The sequence below is a fragment of the Homo sapiens genome, chromosome 1 (assembly GCF_000001405.40).
Source record: "Homo sapiens chromosome 1, GRCh38.p14 Primary Assembly".
In the NCBI taxonomy this organism is placed as follows: domain Eukaryota; kingdom Metazoa; phylum Chordata; class Mammalia; order Primates; family Hominidae; genus Homo; species Homo sapiens.
The window spans coordinates 28408868-28432977 of NC_000001.11; the positions used below are offsets into that span (position 1 = coordinate 28408868).

The 24110-nt window shown below is 40.3% G+C and overlaps 1 protein-coding gene across 5 annotated transcripts in view, besides 2 other annotated features; it reads left to right on the forward strand.

The window, feature by feature from the left end:
• Window positions 1–24110, forward strand: part of PHACTR4 (phosphatase and actin regulator 4) — a 130625-nt gene that overhangs the window by 39128 nt on the left and 67387 nt on the right. The window lies entirely within an intron of this gene.
• Window positions 1097–1156: an enhancer, noted in NCBI's record as "active region_596". NCBI's record gives its function as "activates an Ori minimal core promoter by ATAC-STARR-seq in GM12878 lymphoblastoid cells {active_cell/tissue: GM12878}" and the evidence as "EXISTENCE:reporter gene assay evidence [ECO:0000049][PMID:35858748]".
• Window positions 8586–8645: a silencer, noted in NCBI's record as "silent region_539". NCBI's record gives its function as "represses an Ori minimal core promoter by ATAC-STARR-seq in GM12878 lymphoblastoid cells {active_cell/tissue: GM12878}" and the evidence as "EXISTENCE:reporter gene assay evidence [ECO:0000049][PMID:35858748]".

Here is a 24110-nt window from a genome sequence, read left to right on the forward strand (position 1 = left end):
TAGGGCTTTGCCTTGTTGAGCAGGCGGCTCTGGAATTCATAGGCTCAAGGGATCCACCTGCCTTGGCCTCCCAGAGTGTTAGAATTACAGGCGTGAGCCACTGCACCCAGCCTAATATTTCTAATTAAGTTTAGCCTGTGTATATTTCATCTAGCAACATGAGTAAAGGAATGTAAGTCTAGATATACAAAGGTTTAATGTCTGCCTTTTTGGCGATAAAGTCATTTACTGTGTGTGGAACCCCTTTTCTTTCTTTCTTTTTTTTTTTTTTTTCCAAGACTGGATATCACTGTGTTGCCCAGGCTGGAGTTCAGTGGCTATTCACAGAAGCAATCATAGCATGCTACATCCTTGAACTCCTGGGCTCAAGCAGTCTTCCTGCTTTAGCCTCCCACTGTGTTTGGATGGTAAGGGGTGAAGAAGACTGAGTAAAGAGGCTGTTGCATTCAGCATTAATTATGCATATTTCCCACGTAGCTAGGACTACAGGCATACTCCACCACTCCTGGCCCTATTTTTAACTGATGCTCATTTCAAAGTGAGAGATATGTCTTAGGATATCAGATTTTTTGAAACCATAACATTGACTAGGAAGACTAGTTAGGAAGTACTTTTCATTTTAAAATACACATTAGCAAAAAAGAAAAAAAAGAAATCAGAGGCAGTTTTACTTGTTTAATTTCAGCGTACTGGAGGAAGCATCCGATTCAAGCATTTTCTGATCCTTCATCACACGGAAAGAAGTCTGAATCCCTTTTTATGCCAGTGCAGCTTGAGGAAGTATAGTAAAAATACTACTATATAATACTAACTGAGGTTAGGCTTTTTGGGCTACTAGTACTAGCAATCATCTGGCTCAGATTAAGAGCTTTTGTCTTGCTTTGAGAAGACTGCCCTTTATTACTTTGTAATATCAGAATTTTTCTGCTTTTAACGACCTTAGATAATTTCTTTAGGACCTTGGCTTTCTTTCCCCCCTGAAGAGTAGTTTTTAGGATTATGCCTAGTTCATCAATTAGATCCATCATCAATTAGATCCATCCTTAGTTTGAACACAAGAGGGCAGTCTGTACTTCTTCATAAATTTTTTTTTTTTTTTTTTTTTTTTTTTTTTTTTTGAGACAGAGTCTCGCTGTGTCCCCAGGCTGGAGTGCAGTGGGGTGATCTGGGCTCGCTGCAATCTCCGCCTCCCGAGTTCAAGCCATTCTCCTGCCTCAGCTTCCCGAGTAGCTGGGACTACAGGCACGTGCCACCACACCCAGCTCATTTTTTGTATTTTTAGTAGAGACAGGGTTTCACCATCTTGGCCAGGATGATCTCGAGCTCCTGACCTCATGATCTGCCCACCTTGGCCTCCCAAAGTGCTGGGATTACAGGCGTGAGCCACCGTGCCCAGCCACTTATTCCTAAAGTTTGTAGCTTCATTACCAGGTTAAATCTTGAAGAATTTGGTAAACTGAGTTTTATTATAGTAGTCTGGTGACAAATTCTAAAGAACATGACCATATGATAAACTAGAATAATACATGACAACTCCGTAGGTTTGTACTGGAAACCTAAGTTTTCATTCTGAGTGACCTCCTTGCTTCACTTAAGTAAACATAACCTAAATTTTAATATAATCTTATCAATCAAATTTATTATTAAACAATTAAATTAAACTGAAATTAACCTTAAATATAACTTAAATTTTCTAGGGAGTATCAACGTGAGAGTTGCTATAGAAGTTATAGTTGACCAGTAGTCAATTGAGGCATAAAGTGAAATGTGCTTTTGATTGTTTACTAAGATAGGTAGAAATTTGGGTTCTGTGCTAGTGAGATTATTTTTTTCTTTTTCTTTTCTTTTTTTTATTTGAGACGGAGTTTTGCTCTTGTCGCCAAGGCTGGAGTGCAATGGCACAGTCTCACTTCACTGCAACCTCCACCTCCCGGGTTCAAGTGATTCTCCTGCCTCAGCCTCCTGAGTAGCTGGGATTACCAGCACCTGCCACCATGCCCAGCTAATTTTTGTATTTTTAGTAGAGATGAGGTTTCACCATGTTGGCCAGGCTGGTCTTGAACTCCTGACCTCAGGTGATCCACCCGCCGTGGCCTCCCAAAGTGGCGGGAATTGCAGGCGTGAGCCACCATGCCCGGCTGAGATTATTTTTTATTTTTATTTTTTTGGTTTGTTTTTGTTTTTTGGGGGTTTTTTTGAGGTGGAGTCTTGCTCTGTCACCCAGGCTGGAGTACAATGGTGTGATCTCGGCTCACTGCAACCTCCGCCTCCTGGGTTCAAGCAATTCTCCTGCCTCAGCCTCCCAAGTAGCTGGGACTACAGGCACCTGCCACCACACCCAACTAATTTTTGTATTTTTAATAGAGACGGGATTTCGCCATATTGGCCAGGCTGGTCTTGAACTCCTGACCTCAGATGATCCACCTGCCTCGGCCTCCGAAAGTGTTTGGATTACAGGTGTGAGCCCGGCCTGAGATTATTTTTTTCTAAACACTTATTTAAATCTTGGAATTTGTAAATTAACATTCATTCAATCATAATATGGAGTTTATAGGAAAACAGAAATGACTCATATTTAACTACCATTCTCCTCTGTCTCCATTTTTCCTTCTAAATGTTATAATGATTTTTTTCTTAGTTGTTTACTATACATATACACACATATACATATGATAAGAATTTGGTGTACTCAGTGTCATTTGACAAAGAAAAGAATTGAGGATGTAAAATGAGTTTGTTTCTTTTGGTGGAGTGAGAATTTTGTTATAATCAAGTTAGCTAATAATTAAGTAGAAATATTGAAAAAGAGATAAAAGACTACACATTGGGTACAGTGTACACGGCTTGGATGATGGTTGCACCAGAATCTTAGAAATCACCACTAAAGAACGTATTCATGTAACCAAATACTACCCATTCCCCAAAACCTATTGAAGTAAAAAATGACATAAAAAAGGAAAAAAAGAAAACAGAAACCACCCAAAAGAAAGAAAGAAAGAACGAATGAACAAAAGAAAGAAAGAACGAATGAACAAAAGAAAGAAAGAAAGAGAAAGAAAGAAAGAATTATTTGTGGTATTCTGGAAATAAAAGTAGTGAGGGATTTTTACGAATAAAGTACCAGAAGGATAGACCTAAGGTCTCTAGGACCTTTTCTACCTGGACAGATGCTTACACATTTCATTATATAATATTTAAATATCATGTTCGTTAATATCACTATTGGTCTCGTTGAAAAAAATGTTAAATGTTGGGAAGCTGTCAAGCTCATTCTGGATGTAAATTTTCCAAAATAGGAATTTCACTTGAAAGCTTGAATTCTATCACTAGCAACAAATACTGTTAATTTTCTTTATTAGTGACAGGCTTACTTTTGAGAAAATGCCTGTCAGCTATCTAAGCTTGAATAACATAGCTTGTTGTTCAGTCTTTCAAGTAAAAATAGTATTCCATGAAGAAAACTGTCTAGTTCAGTTTGCAACTCAGTCACACAAATGCCTTTCCTGGAGATAACCATCATACTTAGTATACAAATGTGCTTTATACATATTTCTGTTTCATCATAAACAGTAATAAAAATATATGTACTAAAGGGTTGATATTTATTAAAACTAATATTTTTTATTGCTTTATCAAGGACATTCTTAAAGTTGAATTTATTTTTCACTGTAACTGTGTAGTTGTGAAGAATACAATGATTTCTGCTACAGTTTGGTGCTGTTGCCTTGATTTGTGTTAAGGTGCTAACAGTTTTGCTCACCATTGCTTTTGTACCATCAGTGCAAGTGTCAACACAGTGGAAAAGGCAAATAATTTTTTTGTATTCTTATGTATTTAGTTTTACCTCTTGGACTTCTGAAAGGATCTCAGGGATCCCCAGAGATCAGCAGATTATACTTGCTTCATTTTCCTGAGGTTCCTAGAGGCCCTTCTATGGAAGTCATGAGTAAAGTTAAGATTTAATCCTGGAGATTGTATTGGGCAGGGTTTCAGTGTGGACTAGGTCTTGGACATTTGACAGAAATATGGTCAGAGGGAGTGATTAGCTCTGTGGTTTCTCCTAAGCAGGAGTACCCTGCACCACTACCCCCGGGCCACAGGAGGTGAGCAGTGGGCCAGTGAGCATTACAGTCTGAGCTCCACCTCCTGTCAGATCAGTGATTAGGTGGAACAGTTTCATCCCAAACCACCCCAACACCCCCGTCTGTAGAAAAATTGTCTTCCATGAACCTGGTCCCTGGTGCCAAAAAGGTTGGGGACCGCTGGGTTAAAGAAACTTTTGTGGAGCGAAATGAGTCTGGAACTCATTAGGCAATCAAGTATGTTCAAAGAAGAAATCCATAAGCATTTAGTCAAGACAGGCTGAGGGCCAGGCTCACCTGGGTACTGTGTTCTTAGCTTTAAAAAGGATAAATAGCAGCAGAGATATTGGTGATGACAGCTTTCAATATATCTCTTGAGTCACATTGCTCCAGTCTGTGTACAGGTGGCCTTGCAGTCTGTAGAGGTGGTACGCAACTGTCATCCTGGGTTATCCAGTCTCCATTTTCCTGACAGCTTTGCTTCTTTCCTGTGTTAGCTCCTTTGTTTCCTAAACCCTCATGTCTTCCTCTGTCTTGGTTGCCAGTAGCTTTTTGATGTTGAACCTCCTGGAATAATTATCTAATTCATTTCTTTTTCCTTTAGATATGTTTCCTGCAAGATTTATTCAACTTTATCTTCTACTTTTATTAAATTTTTCTTTTCTACTATTAGAGTTTAATCTCCAGGAGGTCTTTTTGAAGTCTCTGCATGTTTCTTTTTATACTATCCTTTCATTCTTTCAACAGATTTTCCTTGCCCTGCATAGTCTCTTTTTTTCCTAACATTGTTTTTAAATATTGATTTGGTTTCTTTTATGTTAGAGTTTTTCTCTGATGTCTAGTAATAATTAACTGTCTGCTGATGGTTAAAAGTGAGGGACTAAATAGCCAGTTAGAAGCTTTAAATGTATAGGCAGGTTGCCTTTGGGTGAGCTTCTTGGCCTTATTGTTGATGAACATTCTCATATCAGTATCAGGGTCTAAGGGGCACAGTCTTCCCACTGTGTTTGGATGGTAAGGGGTGAAGAAAACTGACTGAAGAGACTGCTGCATTCAGCATTAATTATGCATATTTTCACTTAATTCTCTTCCATTTTTAATTTTACTTGTATTTGTATTTTATTTTACTTTATTTTTATCTTTTGAGATGGAGTCTTGCTCTGTCACCCAGGCTAGAGTGCAGTGGCGCCATCTCAGCTTACTGCAACCTCTGCCTCCTGGGTTCAAATGATTCTCCTGGCCTCAGCCTCCCGAGTAACTGGGATTACAAGCACCCATCACTGCCTGGCTAATTTTTGTAGTTTTAGGGTTTCACCATGTTGGCTAGGCTGGTCTCGAACTCCTGACCTCAGGTGATCCGCCTGCCTCGGCCTACCAAAGTGCTGAGATTACAGGCATGAGCCTCTGCAGCTGGCCTTATTTTCTTTTTCATTTTATTTTTTTATTTTTATTTTTTGGGGTCAGTCTTCCTCTGTCTCAAAAAAAAAAAAAAAAAAAAAAGCACCGCAGCCTCGACCTCCTGAGCTCAAACAATTCTCCCACCTCTGCCTCCCAAGTAGCTGGGACTATAGGCACATACCACCATGCCTGACTAATTTTTTTACTTTTTGTAAAGATGCAGTCTCCCTATGTTGCCCAGGCTGGTCTTGAACTCCTGGGCTCAAGTGATTCTCCCACCTCGGCCTCCCCAAAAGTTGAGATTACAGGCATGAGCCATTGCACCCAACCCCTTCCATTTTTTGTACCATATCCCTACCATCAGTTGCCTTTTGCGACCCCTTTCCAGAGACCATTTGCTTTACACTTTCTTGGAAAACAGATTCCAAAATTCCGCCAGAGTTAGTGTAGGACAGACATTGAAGATCATGGAGTAGGGAAAGTGATAGAGGAATCAAACAGCTTTTACCTTGCTTCTCCTGATTTTAGGTCACCTCCCTTTCATCTCATTTCAGAGACCTGGATAAAATACAATGAATGTATTACTTGTTAACCTATACTGGTGTATACTACCAGTTAAAAGAAAAAATTAGGCTGGGCGCGGTGGCTCACCCCCGTAATCCTAGCACTTTGGGAGGCCGAGGTGGACGGTTTGCCTGAGCTCAGGAATTCGAGACCAGCCTGGGCAACAAGGTGAAACCCCGCCTCTACTAAAATACAAAAAATTACCCAGGCATGATGGCGTGCTACTGTAGTCCCAGCTACTTGGGAGGCTGAGGCAGGAGAATTGCTTGAACCCGGGAGGCGGAGGTTGCAGTGAGCCAAGATCACGCCACTCCACGCCAGCCTGGGCAACAGAGCGAGACTCTGTCTCAAAAAAAAAAAAAAGAGAGAGAAAAGAAAGAAAAAAATTCATGGCTACACTGTACATAAGTGCTGAGTGAAGGAAGGATCCAGAGAGGATGTGCATAGAATTTGTGCTACCATGATGCTCCACACCCCACTACTTTCAAAAATAGCTAATTCGTGCTTCTGCTTTCTTCCTCCCTTTTCAACTGCTTATGGAGTTAACAGTCATTCTCCCAAGAGCATACCAGAACAAAAGGGACTGAAACCCTAGCATATCACTTATTTAAAAGTACTGAGTTGTGACTTCCTTCTAAAGATTTTTGAGGTGGAGGAGGATCTGCATACTAATTGCCTTCCCAAAATGTTTTAAATCATCTGAATACTTCATTAAGTTTCTATATACCCTCTCTTGTATAAATATGAACATGACTTGTTGAAAATACTTTTTTGGGTGTGTTTGGTGATTGTTTAATGAGATGTAGATTATCAGTTTGCATTCTGAATTTAAAGCTAGTTGCAAAGGCTTTATTCATATGCATGGCATTCTGGAAACAAATTTATAAGATAATACCTCCTTTTGATTAGAATTTGTATCATATAGGAAATAGGAGAAGTAGTTTGTTAAGGTAGCAAATAGAATTTATTATTTCCTAAACAAAGTCAATTATTTTTTTCTTATTCTGTATCTGAATTTATGAATTATTATGATGATGCTATAAAGGAGTTTTTTTCTAGCTGTTTAAGAACATTTGCCAAGGAGCCAAACTCAAGACATAATGCACTTCAAAGTTCATGGGAAAACATTTTTGATGTTATGTTGTTATCACTTGAAGCTCAAAATATGCCAGTAACATAGTCCTTCCCTCCCTCCTCTTTAAGAATGAAAGACAAAATACAAGCTTAATTAGTTTTGAGGTCCTCAGGGTGTAGGAGTTAAATTCCTCCAGTATTACATGATGCCAAAATTGATGCTAGTTCCATTTTTTCTCCTAGTGGTCTTGATGAGAAATTTAATATAGCATTATTATAAATATATATTAAATATCCTCTGTCATCTTATTTCCTGAAGGGGTATAAAGGTCAACATGTTTTTACTGTTACATCCTACCCACTGCCCAGTAGTAAACACACAATACATATCTGTATGTGTTTCTTCCAGTGGTTTTAATTTTTCTGCATAAGATAGAATTACCAATCTTAAGGAAAACAGAGTACACAGGCACCAAATTCTGTGAACCTGAATAACAGATATTATGTAATTATTTTTTCTGTCAGTAGAAAAAGATGAGCTGTAGTAGTAGTAGTAGAAGCCTGGAAAGGCAGTAATGCTGACATTCTGGACTATTGCCTGTGTCCTCTCACCACTTTTTATCACTTCTGACTACGTCTTACTCCTAGAAAATCATAGCAAGTGGGATAGGTTGACTAAATGCATGGACTGGTTTCCATCTGAATTTATTGCTGCAAACTGAGCCCTTATCAATGTGTCATGCACCCTGGACAGACGATGATATATGTCATACAAATGTTTTCTTCCAGCCTGTGGCTTGTCTATTTGCTTTCAGAGGCTTTTAAAGTAATGCAATCCAATTTAATCCATTTTCTCTTTTATAGTTCATAATTTTTGTGTTTTCTTGAAGAAATCTTTGCTTAACCAAAGATTAGGTTTTATTTTAAGTTGTTGATTCTTTTTGAGTTAATTTTTAGATATGGTACAAAGTTGGAAATATTCTCCTTTGTCCACTGAATTACCTTGACACCCTGTTGAATTCCTGATGAAACTGGTAATTTTCTTTCTTGCTTTTTTTTTTCTTTTTTTTGCTGTTCCCCCCTTCCTTCCCCCTGAAATGGGTAATTTTCTAGGAAAATATAATTTGCCAAAGGAACTCAAGAAATAAAAATCCTATGTAGACTAGTGTTAAAATGTGATTAGGCCAGGGGTTTTGTGGACAATTTAATTCATGTTGATGAAGCAGATGATTGCAGTAGTCCCTCCTTATTTATGGGGGATATACCAAGACCAAGAATGCCAGTGGATCCCTGAAATCATGGATAATACTGAACCCCAATATGTACTGTTTTTTTCCTGTATATACATACATACATATGTACCTGTGATAAAGTTTGGATTATAAATTAGGCACAGTAAGAATTTAATAACAATAACTAATAATAAAATAGAACAAATAAGTAAAACAAAGATTACTTGAACACAAGCACTGCAATACCGCCACAGTTGATATGGCAACTGAGATGGCTGCTAAGTGATTAACAGGCAGTGAACACATACGGTGTGGATATGCTGGACAAGGTGATGGATGATTCACCCCTGGGCAGGACAGAGCAGGATGGCATGAGATTTCATCATGATACTCAGAGTGGCACATGATTTAAAACTTACAAGTTATTTATTTCTAGAAATTTTCCATATTATATCTTTGGACTGCAGTCAACCACAAGTAACTGAAACTGCAGAAAGTGAAACCACAGATAAGAGGGGACAGCTCTATAATGCTATATCAATCAGTATAGCAGAGAAAAAGAAAGTATACCTGTTTATTTTATAAAGTTGGCAAAATCTTGATAACTAAAAGCTGACAGTCTGGGCATAGTGGCTCATGCCTCTAATCTCAGTCCTTTGGGAGGCCCATACGGGAGGATTGCTTGAGCCCAGGAGTTCAAGAACAGCCTAGGCAACATTGGGAGACCCTACAAAAAAAAAAAAAAAAAAGACACAAGAATCTTTTAAAAAGTTAGCCAGGTATGGTGGCACACATCTATAGTCCCAGCTATTTGGGAGGCTCAGGTGGGAGGATTGCTTGAGTCCAGGAGGTCAAGGCTGCAGTGAAATGAGATTGTGCCACTGCACTCCAGCCTGGAGGACAGAGCACAGCCCTATCTCTAAATAAATAAATGCTGACAAAGATAGTAGAAAAATACATTTGTCCGGCTGGGTGTGGTGGCTCATGCCTATCCCAGCACATTGGGAAGCCAAGGCAGGCAGATCACATGAGGTCAGGAGTTTGAGACCACACTGCCCAACATGGCGAAAGCCTGACTCTACTAAAAATACAAAAAAAAAAAATAATAATAATAATAGCTGGGCGTGGTGGCAGGCAACTGTAACCCCAGCTACTTGGGAGGCTGAGGCAGGAGAAACATCTAAACCTGGGAGGCAGAGGTTGCAGTGACTCAAGATTGCGCCACTGCACTCTGGACTGGGTGACAGAGCAAGACTCCATCTCAAAAACAAAAAACAAAACAAAACAAACAAACAAATACATTTGTTCTATTCCACTTAATACAGCTGTAGAAAGTCTATATAAATTACATGTAGATTAAATCCAACAAATCATTATTTTTTCTTATTACAAAAACAATATATATTTCTTTGAGAAAAATGAGAAAATATGGCATAAAGGAGAAAATTTTAAGGCCAGGTGCAATGGCTCACACCTGTAATCTCAGGACTTTGGGAGGCTGAGGCAGTGGATCACCTGAGGTCAGGAGTTCGAGACCAGCCTGGCTAATATGGTGGAAACCTGTCTCTACTAAAAATACAAAATTTAGCCGGGCATGATGGTGTGCGCCTGTAGTCCCAGCTACTTGGGAGGCTGAGACAGGAGAATTGCTTGAACCCTGGAGGCAGAGGTTGCAATAAGCTGAGATTGTGCCACTGCACACCAGCCTGGGTGACAGAGAGAGACTCCATCTCAAAAAATAAAAAAAGGAGAAAAATTTAAATCATTTGACCTTTCTATCCATTGGTAATTACTAATAACATTTTGATATATCTACTTTTATGATTTTTTTCTAGGGAAGTTTTCTATGTACAGTAGTTACATTTTTTAACATGCCAATTTATAGCTAGCTGTTTTCTGCTTGTTTGGTGCCCGCCCCCATGCCCAGCTAATTTTTTTGTATTTTTAGTAGAGACAGGGTTTCACCATGTCGGCCAGGCTGGTCTCGAACTCCTGAAATTAAGTAATCCACCCGCCTCGGCCTCCCAGAGTGCCAGGATTACAGGCGTGAGCGACCGTGGCTGGCCTGTTTTTGTCCCCATTTGATATGTCAAATCTATAAATATATTGAAAGAATATGACCCAAGAGGATTTATTGCAATATCTAAGGATTATGTAGATATATTATCACTTTACACATATATATACACACACACATATAAAGTGTAAATATATATGTGTATATAGTGTAAAAAACATATATAAAGTGATACATGTATGTGTGTGTGTATATATACACACACACACTTTTTTTGAGATGAAGTCTACCTCTGCCTCCTGGGTTCAAGCGATTCTCCTGCCTCAGCCTGCCGAGTAGCTGGGACTATAGGTGAGCAGCCACCATGCCTGGCTAATCTATAAATAGTTACAAATTATTACCTTGATAGGTCAAAAACTAGAACGAAAATGATATGCTTGCTTATCTTTGTAGATGGGAAAATTCAACTCTTCTAGTTAAAAGCTTTAGTTACCCTAGGAATAGGATAATGTATTTTTATTCTTAAATACTTAAATAATATCAACATCTGCATTTCTACCAAATTGATTTAAAAATTGATAACATTAAGACACATTTTATAAAGTAAAACTTGTTAGATAAAGTCTCCTTTGACCACCTTTGTCTAGTGACAACCCATACATACCACGAATGTTGTGTATATCCTTCTAGTTCATTTTTTTCTGTTACAACATTGCTTACATACTTTGATAGGATCAAGACCAGTTCTCTAGGCCAGATGCAGTGGCTCACACCTGTAATCCCAGTGCTTTGGGAGGCTGAGGCAGGCAAATCGTCTGAGCGCAGCCTGAGCAACATTGTGAGACCCCATCTCTACAAAAAATACAAAAATGAACTGTGAGTGGTCTCGCAGTACTGTGGTCCCAGCCACTCAGGAGGCTGGGAGAATCACTTGTGCCTGGGAGATTGAGGCTGCAGTGAGCCATTGATATGGGTAGGCTTTGTCTTCCCACCCAAATCTCATCATGAATTGTAAACCCCATAATGCCTATCATCCCCACGTGTCAAGGTAGAGACCAGGTGGAGGTAATTGAATTATGGGGGCAGTTTACCCCATGCTGTTCTCATGATACTGAGTTCTCACAAGATCTGATGGTTTTATAAGGCGCTCTTCCCCCTTCACTCAGCCCTTCTCCTTCCTGCCACCTTGTAAAGAAGACACCTTGCTTCTCCTTCACCTCCCACCATTATGGTAAGTTTCCTGAGGCCTCCCCAGCCATGCTGAACTGTGAGTCAATTAAACCCCTTTCCTTTATAAACTACCCAGTCTTGGGCACTTCCTTATAGCAGTGTGAGAACAAACTAATACAAGCCATGATTGTGCCACTGCACTCCAGCCTGGGTGACAGGATGAGACCCTGTCTCAAAATAAAAGAGGATTGTTATCTATAGAAAATCTAAAGGAGTTATTTACAATAACAACCCAAATTATAAAATACCTAGGAGTGATCTCAGCAACATAGCCCATATGATAAAACTAGAAGTGTGCTGTAGATAAATAAATAGATCCATTATGTCAAGTAATGGGAAAAACTGGAAAAGTTATTGGTGTCATTTATTCCTAAATTTATTATATATGTTTAATACAACATTAATAGTTGAAGAGAACTTACATTAGCTTTTGATATTTGACAAAGTGATGATCAAATATAACTTAGAAAAAAATTAAAGCTAAGAAGTTAACAAACTCCCCTTTTTAATGGGTTTATGATGCCAGTTTGGTCACACTAAGTTTTGTAAGGTCTTGGGTGTATTTTTGGACTTTATGTTCTTTTCTGTTGAACAATTTGTCAGTTTTTGTACCAGTTCTACAATGTGTTTATTACTACAGTCAAAACAACGTCACTGGCTGACTTCTGCATGTCCTATCTTATTCAAAATGACCTTTCATGATCAGAGCTTTGAGTTGACCCAAAGGCAGGGTAATTTTTACAAGATTACTGTTTGAAACGTCAATGAAACCAGAGCACATGGGCATGTGCACATATATACACACACATACACACTCACATGTTATAATTGAGGCTTCCATTGAATGAAAGTAATGGTAGTATAATGGACCATCTTGTAGATGGTGCTGATGGCCTCTAATCCTCGTTGAAGATTCGTGGGTTTTTTTGTTTTTTTTTTTTTGATTCCTCATCAAACCAGTGTTTTATCTTGCGGTAGCCAGAGTAACATCATATCAGATTGTAATCTATAGCTATAGCTTTCCTTTTTACTATTGCATAAAAATTAATATTATATTTGACCTCTTTAAGAATTTTTAGATTTCTTATTTAGGTTTCCTTTAATGCTGCTATATTCTGTTTCTTTTCATTGATTTCTTAAAATAATTTAGATGCTCTAAAACGTAGGCCTGGCTGCTTTATTTTGTCCATTTCCCCGCACAGGGTGAGTCAGTCTTTTCCTCACTTCAGTTTAGAGCTCAGTAATCAAAGGGCACAAATAGCAAGAAGGCTTAAGAATTATGTCTTAAATAGTATAAGACAAAAGTGGCACCAAAGGAAGGACATTCCTGCTAGGATGGGGAGCTTGGCTTAATACTAAAGGTGTGTATTTGTTTAGTTCTGGTTATAATCTCATAATACATCCGGGATACATGGCTTAATGTTGGTTTCAGTGAAGGCCAGTTACTATCCTAACCCCACCCCAAAGGTGAATGATGGATGGATGTATGATTGGCTGACTGAATGACTTATTAATTCATTCAATAAATTTTTGTTGGCTCACTGCCCTAACTGCCATGCAGGAAAAAGATGAGTAAGTTACATTTTCAGCTCTCAAAGAGGAGATTGAGAACTTTTAATGTGAGACAGAGTGAAGTTATTTTATACAAATAAAAATACTTGTGTTATTGGAATTTCCTGCCATGTTATTCAGCATGATTTGTACTTGTGGAAATTATTAAAACTTAATTGTATAGCATGTGTAGTCAGCCCTCTGTTTCTGAGGGTTTCACATCCATGGATTTAACCAACCACAGATTGAAAATGCTTGGGGAAAAAATAATAATTATACAACAATAAATGATAATGCAATTTTTAAAAAATACAGTATAAAAACTTTACATCACATTTACACTGTTAGGTATTATAAATAATCTAGAGAAGACTAAGTATTATGGAGGATGTGTATAGGTTATATGTAAACACTTTGCCACTTTATATAAGGGACTTAAACATCCATGGATTTTGGTGTCCAAGGAGAGTCCTGGAACAAATCCCCCTTGGATACTGAAGGATGACTGTATTTCCCTTCTTTTCCTTTACTTTTTATTTTTAAGGCTAGTCAAATGAAGCAGTGGGAGGGGAGAAGGAACAAAGAAATCTTAAGTGGTTGTGATCAATTAGTTGTAAACCCCACTGCATTCTGACCAGCCCATATTTCTTTTCCTGTATCTGTGTTCTTTGAACAGTTTAGTGGCGATTTCTTTAGGGCAAGTTTTTTGTTTTACCGTGTTTGTTTTGTATCTAAAAAGAGAATTTGGTGACCCTGGGGAAATAGGTAAAAACTAGAGACTTCTTTTTTTGAGACAGAGTCTCACTCTGTCGCCAGGCTGGAGTGCAGTGGTGCCATCTCAGCTCACTGCAACCTTCACCTCCCGGGTTCAAGCAATTCTCCTGCCTCAGCCTCCCAAGTAGCTGGGACTACCGGCGCATGCCACTGCGCCCAGCTAATGTTTTTGTAGTTTTAGTAGAGACGGGGTTTCCCCATGTTGACCAGGCTGGTCTCAAACTCCTGACCTCAGGTAATCCGCCTGCCTCCATCTCCCAAATTGCTGGGATTACAGGCATGAGCCACCACACCCGGCCTAAAACTAGAGACTTCTTAACTACCTTAGAGAGTATAGATAGGGCTGGGCATGGCGGCTCATGCCTGTAATCCCAGCACTCTGGGAGGCGGGAGGATCCCTTGAGCCCAGGAGTTCAAGGCCTTTCTGGGGCAACATAGCAAGACCTTGTCTTGACAAAAAATAAACAGAATTAGCCAGGTGTGGTGGTGCATGCCTATAGTCCCAGCTATTTAAGTGGCTGAGATGGGAGGATTGTTTAAGCCAGGGAGGTCGAGGCTGCAGTGAAGCATGATCATATCACTACACTCCAGCCTGGGCAACAGAGCAAGATCCTGCCTCAAATAAATAAATAAATAAATAAATAAATAAATAAATGAGTAAATAAATATCTTGCGCTCTCATAAAACATACTTGTACATTGCTAATAATAATGCTCCATGTAGCATAAGTATGGTTAAAAGGTTATATAAACCTGTGCTTCAGTAATTTTGGGTTTCTCATGAAAGACTATGGCTAGAGAGTTTTTGTTGTATATGTAGGTTTATGGTGTAGCAAAGAATGGAGACTCAGATCCAGATTACTTAGATGTGAATCCTAACTTTGCCAGTTTGCCAGTTTTTAACTTAGACCAGTTTACTCCTATGTGACTCAGTTTCCTCATATACAAAATGGGAATAATAAATGCTGTCTTGCTCATAGACTTGTAAGAATTAGACAAGTTAGTATATGTAAAATATTTAGAATAATCGTTGGGATTATAACACACGTTCAATTCATGTTAGCTATTATTATTCAAACAGAATTGGGAGAAGGAATACTTGGGAAGTTGAATTTAGTTTATTTTCTAAGTTTTAGCTTTCTTCAAATCTTTTCACACATAACAGAGTAGATAAATTTGAACTTAACTTTATTTTATTTATGTTCTAATTTTTCAGATACCAGTTTTTACCATTTAGGGAAATGATCAGAAACCAGGAAACATAAATCAAGGAGAGAAGAAATAGAGAACAGAAATCAGCTTTGAGTGATTAAAAACTGGTAGTGCTGCAGTTTTGTCCTTCTAAGTGTTTCTTACAGGAACTAGAAAAGCAGAGCTATTTTTAAAAATTATTAATTAATTATTTTTTTATTTTTATTTTTGAGGCAGGGTCTCACTCTGTTGCCCAGACTGGAGTACAATGGTGTGAACAGGGCTCACTGCAGCCTTCACCTCCTGAGTTCAAGTGACCCTCCTGCCTCAGCCTCCTGTGTAGCTGGAACCACAGGCATATGCCACCACTCCCAACCTTGTTGCCTAGGCTGGTCTCCACCTCTGGAGCTCAAGCAATCTTCCCACTTCAGCCTTCCAAAGTGCTAAGATTACAGGTGTGAGCCACCATATCCAGCTGAAGAGCTATTTTCATTTATTTTTATTTTTAAATTTTATTTATTATTTTTTTTAGTCAGAGTCTCTCTGCCACCCAGGCTGGAGTGCAGTGGCACCATCTCAGCTCACTGCAACCTCCGCCTCCTGGGTTCAAGCGATTCTCCTGCCTCAGCCTCCCAAGTAGCAGGGACTACAGGCACGTGCCACCACACTTGGCTTATTTTTTCTATTTTTAGTAGAGATGGGGTTTCACTGTGTTAGCCAGGATGGTCTCGATATCCTGACCTTGTGATCTGCCCGCCTCAGCCTCCCAAAGTGCTGGGATTACAGGTGTGAGCCACCGTGGCTGGCCTGTTTTTTTGTTGTGTTTTTTTTTGAGATGGAGTCGTGTTCTGTCGCCCAGCTTGGAATGCAGTGGTGCAATCTAGGCTCACTGCAACCTCTTCCTCCCAGGTTCAAACAATTCTCCCTGCCTCAGCCTCCTGGGAAGCTGGGGTTACAGGCATGCACCACCACCCCGGCTAATTTTTGTATTTTTAGTAGAGATGGCATTTTCACTGTTGGTCAGGCTGGTCTCGAACTCCTGACCTTAGGTGATCCACCTTCCTTGGCCTCCCAAAGTGCTGGGATTATAGGCATGAGCTACCACGCCCAGCCTTATTTTTTAAATTTTATTTATTTATTTATGTATTTCTTTATTTTGAGACAGAGTCTCACTGTCACCCAATCTGGAGTGCATTGGCACGATCTTCAGCTAACTGCAGCCTCCACCTCCCAGGGTCAAGCAGTTCTCCTGCCTTAGCCTCCCCAGTAGCTGGGACTACAGGCATCCACCACCACACCCAGCTAAGTTTTGTATTTTCAGTAGAGACAGGGTTTCACCATGTTGGCCAGGCTGGTCTCAAACTCCTGACCTCGTGATCTGCCTGCCTTGGCCTCCCAAAGTGCTGGGATTACAGGAGTGAGCCACCAAGCCTGACCACAACAAAGTGCTTTTGAATTACTGGCTTGAAGAGGTTTGATATAAACACTATTTATATAGTCATCCTAGTTCTTCTACAGGAATTTTTATTGAGTCGTAGTGTAACTAGGTGTTCATTACTGAGAATTTTTATTTAGTAGAGAATGAAGGCTATATTCTCCTATTCATGTACTGGAAAATGATATTGTTTAAGGAGATTTCTTGTTAGGAATTTCTGCATAACTTTTACAAATGTTATAGCTAGCTGTCATCAGACACATACTGTGTTCCCACTGGATATCTAGTGTTGGTAATATTCAGGTTTCTTTCTCACTCACTTAAAGTGAATATTGAGGGCCAGCCGAATTAGGAAGAGTTGTGAAAGAGAGAGAAGGAAGAATAATTGGCAGTGGCTAATAGTCATCTCTTTGAGTCACTAGTCATAGTCACATGTTTCAAACCTCTGTGATGTGGGCTCCTTGATTTCTGACTAGTTTCTACACATCAGTGATACCTCTTGGTTCCTTAATAGATGTCAACTGGGCCGGGCACGGTGGCTCACGCCTGTAATCCCAGCACTTTGGGAGGCAGAGATGGGCAGATCACCTGAGGTCAGGAGTTCGAGACCAGCCTGACCAACATGGTGAAACCCCAGTCTCTACTAAAATACAAAAATTAGCCAGGCGTAGTGGCAGGCGCCTGTAATCTCAGCTACTCGGGAGGCTGAGGCGGGAGAATCGCTTGAACCCGGGAGGCGGAGGTTGCGGTGAGCTGAGATCACACCACTGCATTCCAGTCTGAGCAACAGAGCGAGAAACCTTCTCAAAAAAAAAAATTGTGAATATAAATAGTCCAATAGTTTGAAACTAAATAAAATGAAACTTTTATTTAGCTGTGAAGATTTCTTCAGCGCATACTACCAATAGTAGTTGGTACTATGAAAAACAGATAACACATGCTGATGAAACGTGGAATTGGGAGGCCAGGCATGGTGGCTCACGCCTGTAATCCCAGTACTTTGGGAGGCTGAGGCGGGTGGATCACGAGGTCAGGAGATCAAGACCATCTGGCTAACACAGTGAAACCCCATCTCTACTAAAAATACAAAAAAAACCCAATTAGCCAGGCGTGGTGGTGGGCGCCTGTAGTCCCAGCTACTCTGGAGGCTGAGGCAGGAGAATGGCGTGAACCCGGGAGGCGGAGCTTGCAGTGAGCCGAGATTGCACCACTGCACTCCAACCTGGGCGACAGAGCGAGACTCCGTCTCAAAAAAAAAAAGAAACGTGGAATTGGTTCTTTGAGATACTCTGTTATTACTGGAAGACTTTTTTTTTTTTTTTAATAGAGACAAGATCTGCCCCCACTGGTCTCAAACTCCTGGGCTCAAGCAATCCTCCCACCTTGGCCTCCCAAAGTGCTGGGATTACAGTAATGAACCTGGACTGCACCTGGCCGTGGAAGAATTCTGAGTGGGCTTTAAAAATCCTTTTAAGTTCAGCATGTCCAGTAGAACTTTCTGCAAAGATGGAAATGTTCTGTATCTGCCACTCTCCCATGTGTAGTCATATGTAGCTAGCTACTGAGCACCTAAAATGTGGCTAGTAAAAGTGAGAGACTGAATTGTAAATTGTATCTCATTTTAATAATACAAATGTAAATAATCATGTGTGGCTAGTGGCCACAGTATTGGACAGTACACATAGACATTTGAGAACTGAGCAGCAAGTTTGATAACCAATACTTCTCTACCAATGATTAAAATAATGTAATTCTTATTTACTTTTAGTATGCTTGGAAATGTTGCTTTTTGTTTTGCTGCCATTAGAACCAATAACAGTATAATATTTGGCCGGACGCAGTGGCTCACACCTGTAATCCCAGCACTTCGGGAGGCAGCGGGATGTGGATCACTTGAGGTCAGGAGTTTGAGATCAGCCTGGCCAACATGGTGAAACCCCGTCTCTACTAAAAATACAAAAATTAGCCAGGCATGGTGGTGCGCACCTGTAATCCCAGCTACTTGGGGGCCTGAGGCAGGAGAATCACTTGAACTCGGGAGGCGGACGTTGCAGTAAGCTGAAATTGCACCACTGCATTCCAGCCTGGGCAACAGAGCGAGACCCTGTCTCAAAATAAAAAATAAAAAATAAAAAGGCTATAGTATTAGGAAGAAGACAGAGGAAGTTAATTTAGGAATGTGTTGTTTACTGCGGGTCTTCACTTATACATCATCTTCCCACTGAGGCCCTTCCGCTCACCCAGTTTATAATTTAGCACCCTTCCTTTCAGCCCACCTTATTTTCCTTTCCTCCCTTTTTTACTCTGTGGTACTTGTCACCATCTAATGTAATGGGAAGAGGGCAGGGATTATTTTCCCCTGTTGTATTCACTGCTGTGTCCCAACACCTAGAATGATACCTGACACATTAGAGGTACTCAGCAAGTATTTGTGGAGTGAATAAGTGAGGGTTGTGGTTTCTCAATAATTATAATCTAATTCATTTAACACTTATTTTGCATATAGCAAGCATTGAGTTAGATTAGTTATATAGAGTACACTATGGTCACTACCCTTTCCATAGTAAAACATTTATTTCTTTGTGAGCTTCAAATCACTGACAAGAAAAAAATTTAGAAAACTAAAAACATTTCTTTGAACCATTATTTAAAACAGAATATTGAATCGGTTAAATCATTGGTTGGAAGGGACTTGGCAATGATTTGAATCAGTTGTCTGATGTCACATGGTGGTTTAAAGTTCCATCAGTGTCATTTACATCCTCTTCTCATTTCCCCTTTTCCTTCATCCCACAACATATGAACCTTTTGCTCACTTACTTTTTCTACATCTTCTCATCTCCATTCAGCTAGTTCTCACTTTCTTCTAGGCCTGCCTTTCCCACTGACTTTACTGGACCTTAAGGAACTCCTCAAATCCCTATCCAATATTAACTGAAACTTTCCTGTTGATTATGATTTCTTATAACTCCTTCCTCAGTTCCAGAATCTTCTCCCTATCCCCTGGGATATCCTCAAGAGCTTATTGGCCTGAAAACCAAAACTTGAAGAGAAAGCAACAAGGCAGAATCCCTATATCTCCAGTTTCTTTGAGTGTGATCTTTCATTTTGTGGAGCTGAAAGCCATCCTGCTGGCATAATTTCAGTTTCTCTCGCTAATAAAAGTCCAACATATTGTAGGTTTTAAACATATACATTACTTCATGCCTACCATTATTGAGAGAAGAAGAAATAATGTAGCTTCTGTGACATAAAAGCATGACAGAACCTCTCCAGTTTTTCCTAAAGAACTGTGGTGGTTTAATTTAAACTATTGGGGAGGTGGGGTTCATTTATATAGAGAATCTAAATGGAAGGAGAGGAGCCAAAATATATTAAGCACCTCTAATCATTAGGTAGTCTTTGGAAATTTTTCTTATTTAATCCTCATAACTCTATGAGCAGTTTTCTTCATTTTACAGATGTGTAAACTGAAGTGCATGTAAGTAAAGTAACTTTCCAGAGTAACCTAATCAGTAAATGGGAAAGCTGAGATTTTACATAGTTATATGACTGTAAACCCTGTGCTTTTTTCCATTGGTAAGCCATGCTGCCTTCTAGAAGTGGAGGCAAGGGAGGGAACAAGAGTTACAGCGTTTGATGTAGAATAGGAGGCAGTTTGTTTGTTTTTCACATCCAGTGAGCTAGCCACATAAATAAACCAGTATTATTTGTGGTAAGTGGCATGAGTATCTGGTGATTCCAGTGGCCCTGCCTTAACTTTAACCTTCTGTCGCTTTCAGCCTGTTCTTCAGGCTAGTTCACATGAAGTACAAACACTTCCTACTAAGGATCTTGAGCCTCACAGTTGTGATTAAATGAGGGAGTATGTGAAGCTTCATATGACAAATCTATCCCCTTTCTTACTACTTGCAAAGCAGTATGTTCTCAAAAACCACATGAACATACCATTTTTTCCCCACAAAAGCAAGAGTTTCACAGCAGCTCCCAGGATTGTGTGGAATGATAGAGTAGTCTATGGTCTCGACGTTTTTTCTGGCCTCCGTGAGAAAAGTTCCACTGTTGGAGGTCGGAAGAAATGTAGAGATGATGGGCTATTCTATCCATGGTAGAATAGTGGATGAATAGCCTACCTTGGATGAATATAGTGGATGAATATTCTGCCAGGGTAAAATAGTCTATGGTAGAATAGAATCTCTGAGAAAAGTTTAAAATTAAAGAATGCTGTTTCTTTCCTTATACTCAAGATTAATAATACTCGGTGCGTGTATACTGTACATCAAATGTGACAAGCATTGAGAGTTTAAGGATAAATACATCATGGGCCCTGCCCACAAGGAATTTCTAGCTTAATTGAGAAGTCTGAAGATTACTGCATTTCAGGCTGGTGTACTTAATAACAGAGTATGATAACTTAGGCACTGTGCCAACATATATTGGTAGGTGTAAGTGTGTCTAGCTTTGTCCTGAGGTCAGAGAAAAAAACTTTTTTTTGGTGGTGTGTCCAGAAAACCATAGTTATGATTAGCTCTTTACCTCTCCTGTATTATCCCTTGATGCTTGTACCTATTTCTCACTTCTGTCATCCCTCCTATGGCTGACTCTTTCAGGTTCTTTTTTTTTTTTGAGACAGAGTCTCGCACTGTCACCCAGGCTAGAGTGCAGTGGCGTGATCTCGGCTTACTGCAAGCTCCGTCTCCCGGGTTCACGCCATTCTCCTGCCTCAGCCTCCCGAGTAGCTGGGACTACAGGCACCCGCCACCACACCAGGCTAATTTTTTTTGTATTTTTAGTAGAGATAGGGTTTCACCATGTTAGCCAGGATGGTCTTGATCTGCTGACCTCGTGATCTGTCCGCCTCGGCCTCCCAAAGTGCTGGGATTACAGGCATGAGCCACTGCGCCCGGCCTTCCAGACAGTTCTTAATGGATGGGTAGGAATTTGCCAAATATATCTAGGAGAGAAATTCCTGGCGAAGGGAGCAATTTGTACAAATAGATGAGAAATGAAGAGTTTGCAGATTACCAGCAAGGCTTTCTAATTTCCACATGTAGCTTGAGGCACATGTTATCAATTGTAGGATGTTACCTCCCTTAACTATCCAGTGCCAGCCAGCCTAGAGTAGATCATGGGGTAAAGAAAAGAAAGCTGCTCTTTCCCCTAATTATATATTCAGAGGTTGAAAATTAGTCTTTGATGTGAATATGTATTTGTGTGATTTGCTAGTAATTTCTGTTGGTCATCACGTCCTAGAGGAAAGTGACTTCTTCCTAACCCCTCACTGGAGTTTACCTCCCTCAGACATCTCAAGCCATAAGAAAGAAGTATGCTGAATTAAGCTGAGGGAGCTATAATTAAAATAGTCAATAGCTGATTTTCCTAGGTAATCCAATTTGTATTCATACTTCAGCATAAAAATACATTTAATTTAAAGCATTCTACTCTTGTGATTGATCTTGTAAACTGCTTATTAAAAATATAGGCTGGGCACAGTGGCTCACTCCTGTAATCCCAGCACTTTGGGAGGCCGAGGCAGGCGGATCACGAGGTCGGGAGATCGAGACCATCTTGGCTAACACAGTGAAACCCTGTTTCTACTAAAAAATACAAAAAAATTAGCCAGGCGTGGTGGCAGGCGCCTGTAGTCCCAGCTACTCGGGATGCTGAGGCAGGAGAATGGAGTGTATCCAGGAGGCGGAGCTTGCAGTGAGCTGAGATCGCGCCACTGCACTCCAGCCTGGGCCACAGAGCGAGACTCCATCTCAAAAAAAAAAAAACCAAAATATATATATATATATATAAACATGGGGCTGGGTGCAGTGGCTCATGCCTGTAATTCCAGCACTTTGGGAGGCCGAGGCGGGTGGATCATGAGGTCAGGAGATCTAGACCATTCTGGCCTCCCAAGTAGCTGGGACTACAGGCACGTGCCACCATGCCCAGCTAATTTTTGTATTTTTAGTAAAGACAGGGTTTCACCATGTTAGCCAGGATGGTCTTGATCTCTTGACCTCGTGATTCACCTGCCTCGGCCTCCCAAAGTGCTGGGATTACAGGCGTGAGCCACCGCACCAGCCACTACAATACAATTTTTATAGTGAATTTAAAACACCAAACACCACATTCCAAAAAGAACTCTGAGTCAGACACCAACAGTAAAAGCTTACCGTGATCTCAGTCTGTCTTTAGTAATGAAGCCCAATGACTAACATATAAGAAGACAATTCAAACTATACTTTGTTCAGGAAAAGGAAGATAAAGTCTTCCACATCTTCTGGATGGAACCTGGGAAAGATATTCCACAGTGTCTTACTGCTTATAAACAATTTTAACAAATCAGCATTAGCTTAATGGAGGGAAGGAACAATTCATGGCTTCCTGATGAGAAATTCAGTTCACATTTATGTGGCCTGCTTTGGAGCAACTTGTGCTGTTAGCTGATGATCTTAAGTTTCTCTGTTGAGCACTACCTGTGGAACTGTCCAAATCTGGGCTTTTAGGAAAATAATATCTTGGCCGGGCACAGTGGCTCACGCCTGTAATCCCAGCACTTTGGGAGGCCGAAGTGGGCAGATCATGAGGTTAGGAGTTCGAGACGAGCCTGACCAACATGGTGAAACCCTATCTCTACTAAAAATACAAAAATTAGCTGGGTGTGGTGGCTCACGCCTGTAATCCCAGCTACTCAGGAGGGTGAGGCAGGAGAATCACTTGAACCCAGGAGGTGGAGGTTGCAGTGAGCCGAGATCGTGCCACTGCACTCCAGCCCAGGTGACAGAGCGAGACTCTGTATCAAAAAAAAAAGAATATCTTTGGTATGCCCAGCAATTTATAGGTTATATGTGGTAATTAGAAACAGTTCTTTAATAAAACAAGGAAGGCTTAGGTCGGGTGCAGTGGCTCATGCCTATAATCCCAGCACTTTGGGAAGCTGAGGCTAGAGGATCTCTCTCTCTCTTTTTTTTTTTTTTTTTGAGTAAAACTTTAAATTTTTCTCCCACTAGGATCTCTTGAGTCCAGGAGTTTGAGACTGCCTGGACAACATAGTGTGACCCTGTCTCTATAAAAAAAAATTAAAAAATTAGCTGGGTGGGTGGCACATGCCTGATGTTCTAGCTACTCCGGAGGCTGAGGTGGGAGGATTACTTGAGGCCAGGAGTTCCAGTGAGCTATGATCGCACCTCTGCACTCCAGCCTAAGTGACAGAGCAAGACTCTGTCTGTAAAAAAAAATAAAAATGAAAAAAGGCTCTCATTAGAGGGCTTTAAGTGCTGTCTAAATCTCAATGGTAGCTTCAATTCCTTTGCCTATTAAATCTTATTTTTCTAAGGTGTTTTATTTTTTTTGAGACAGGGTCTCACTATCATCCAGGCTGGAGTTCAATAGCACGATCTCAGCTCACTGCAACTTCGCATCCTGGGCTCAAACAATCCTTCTGCCTCAGCTTCCCAAGTAGCTGGGATCACTGGCATGTGCCACCATGCCTGACTAATTTTTGTATTTTTTTTTTTTGTAGAGATGGGGTTTTACCATGTTACCCAGGCTGGTCTTGAACTCCTGGAC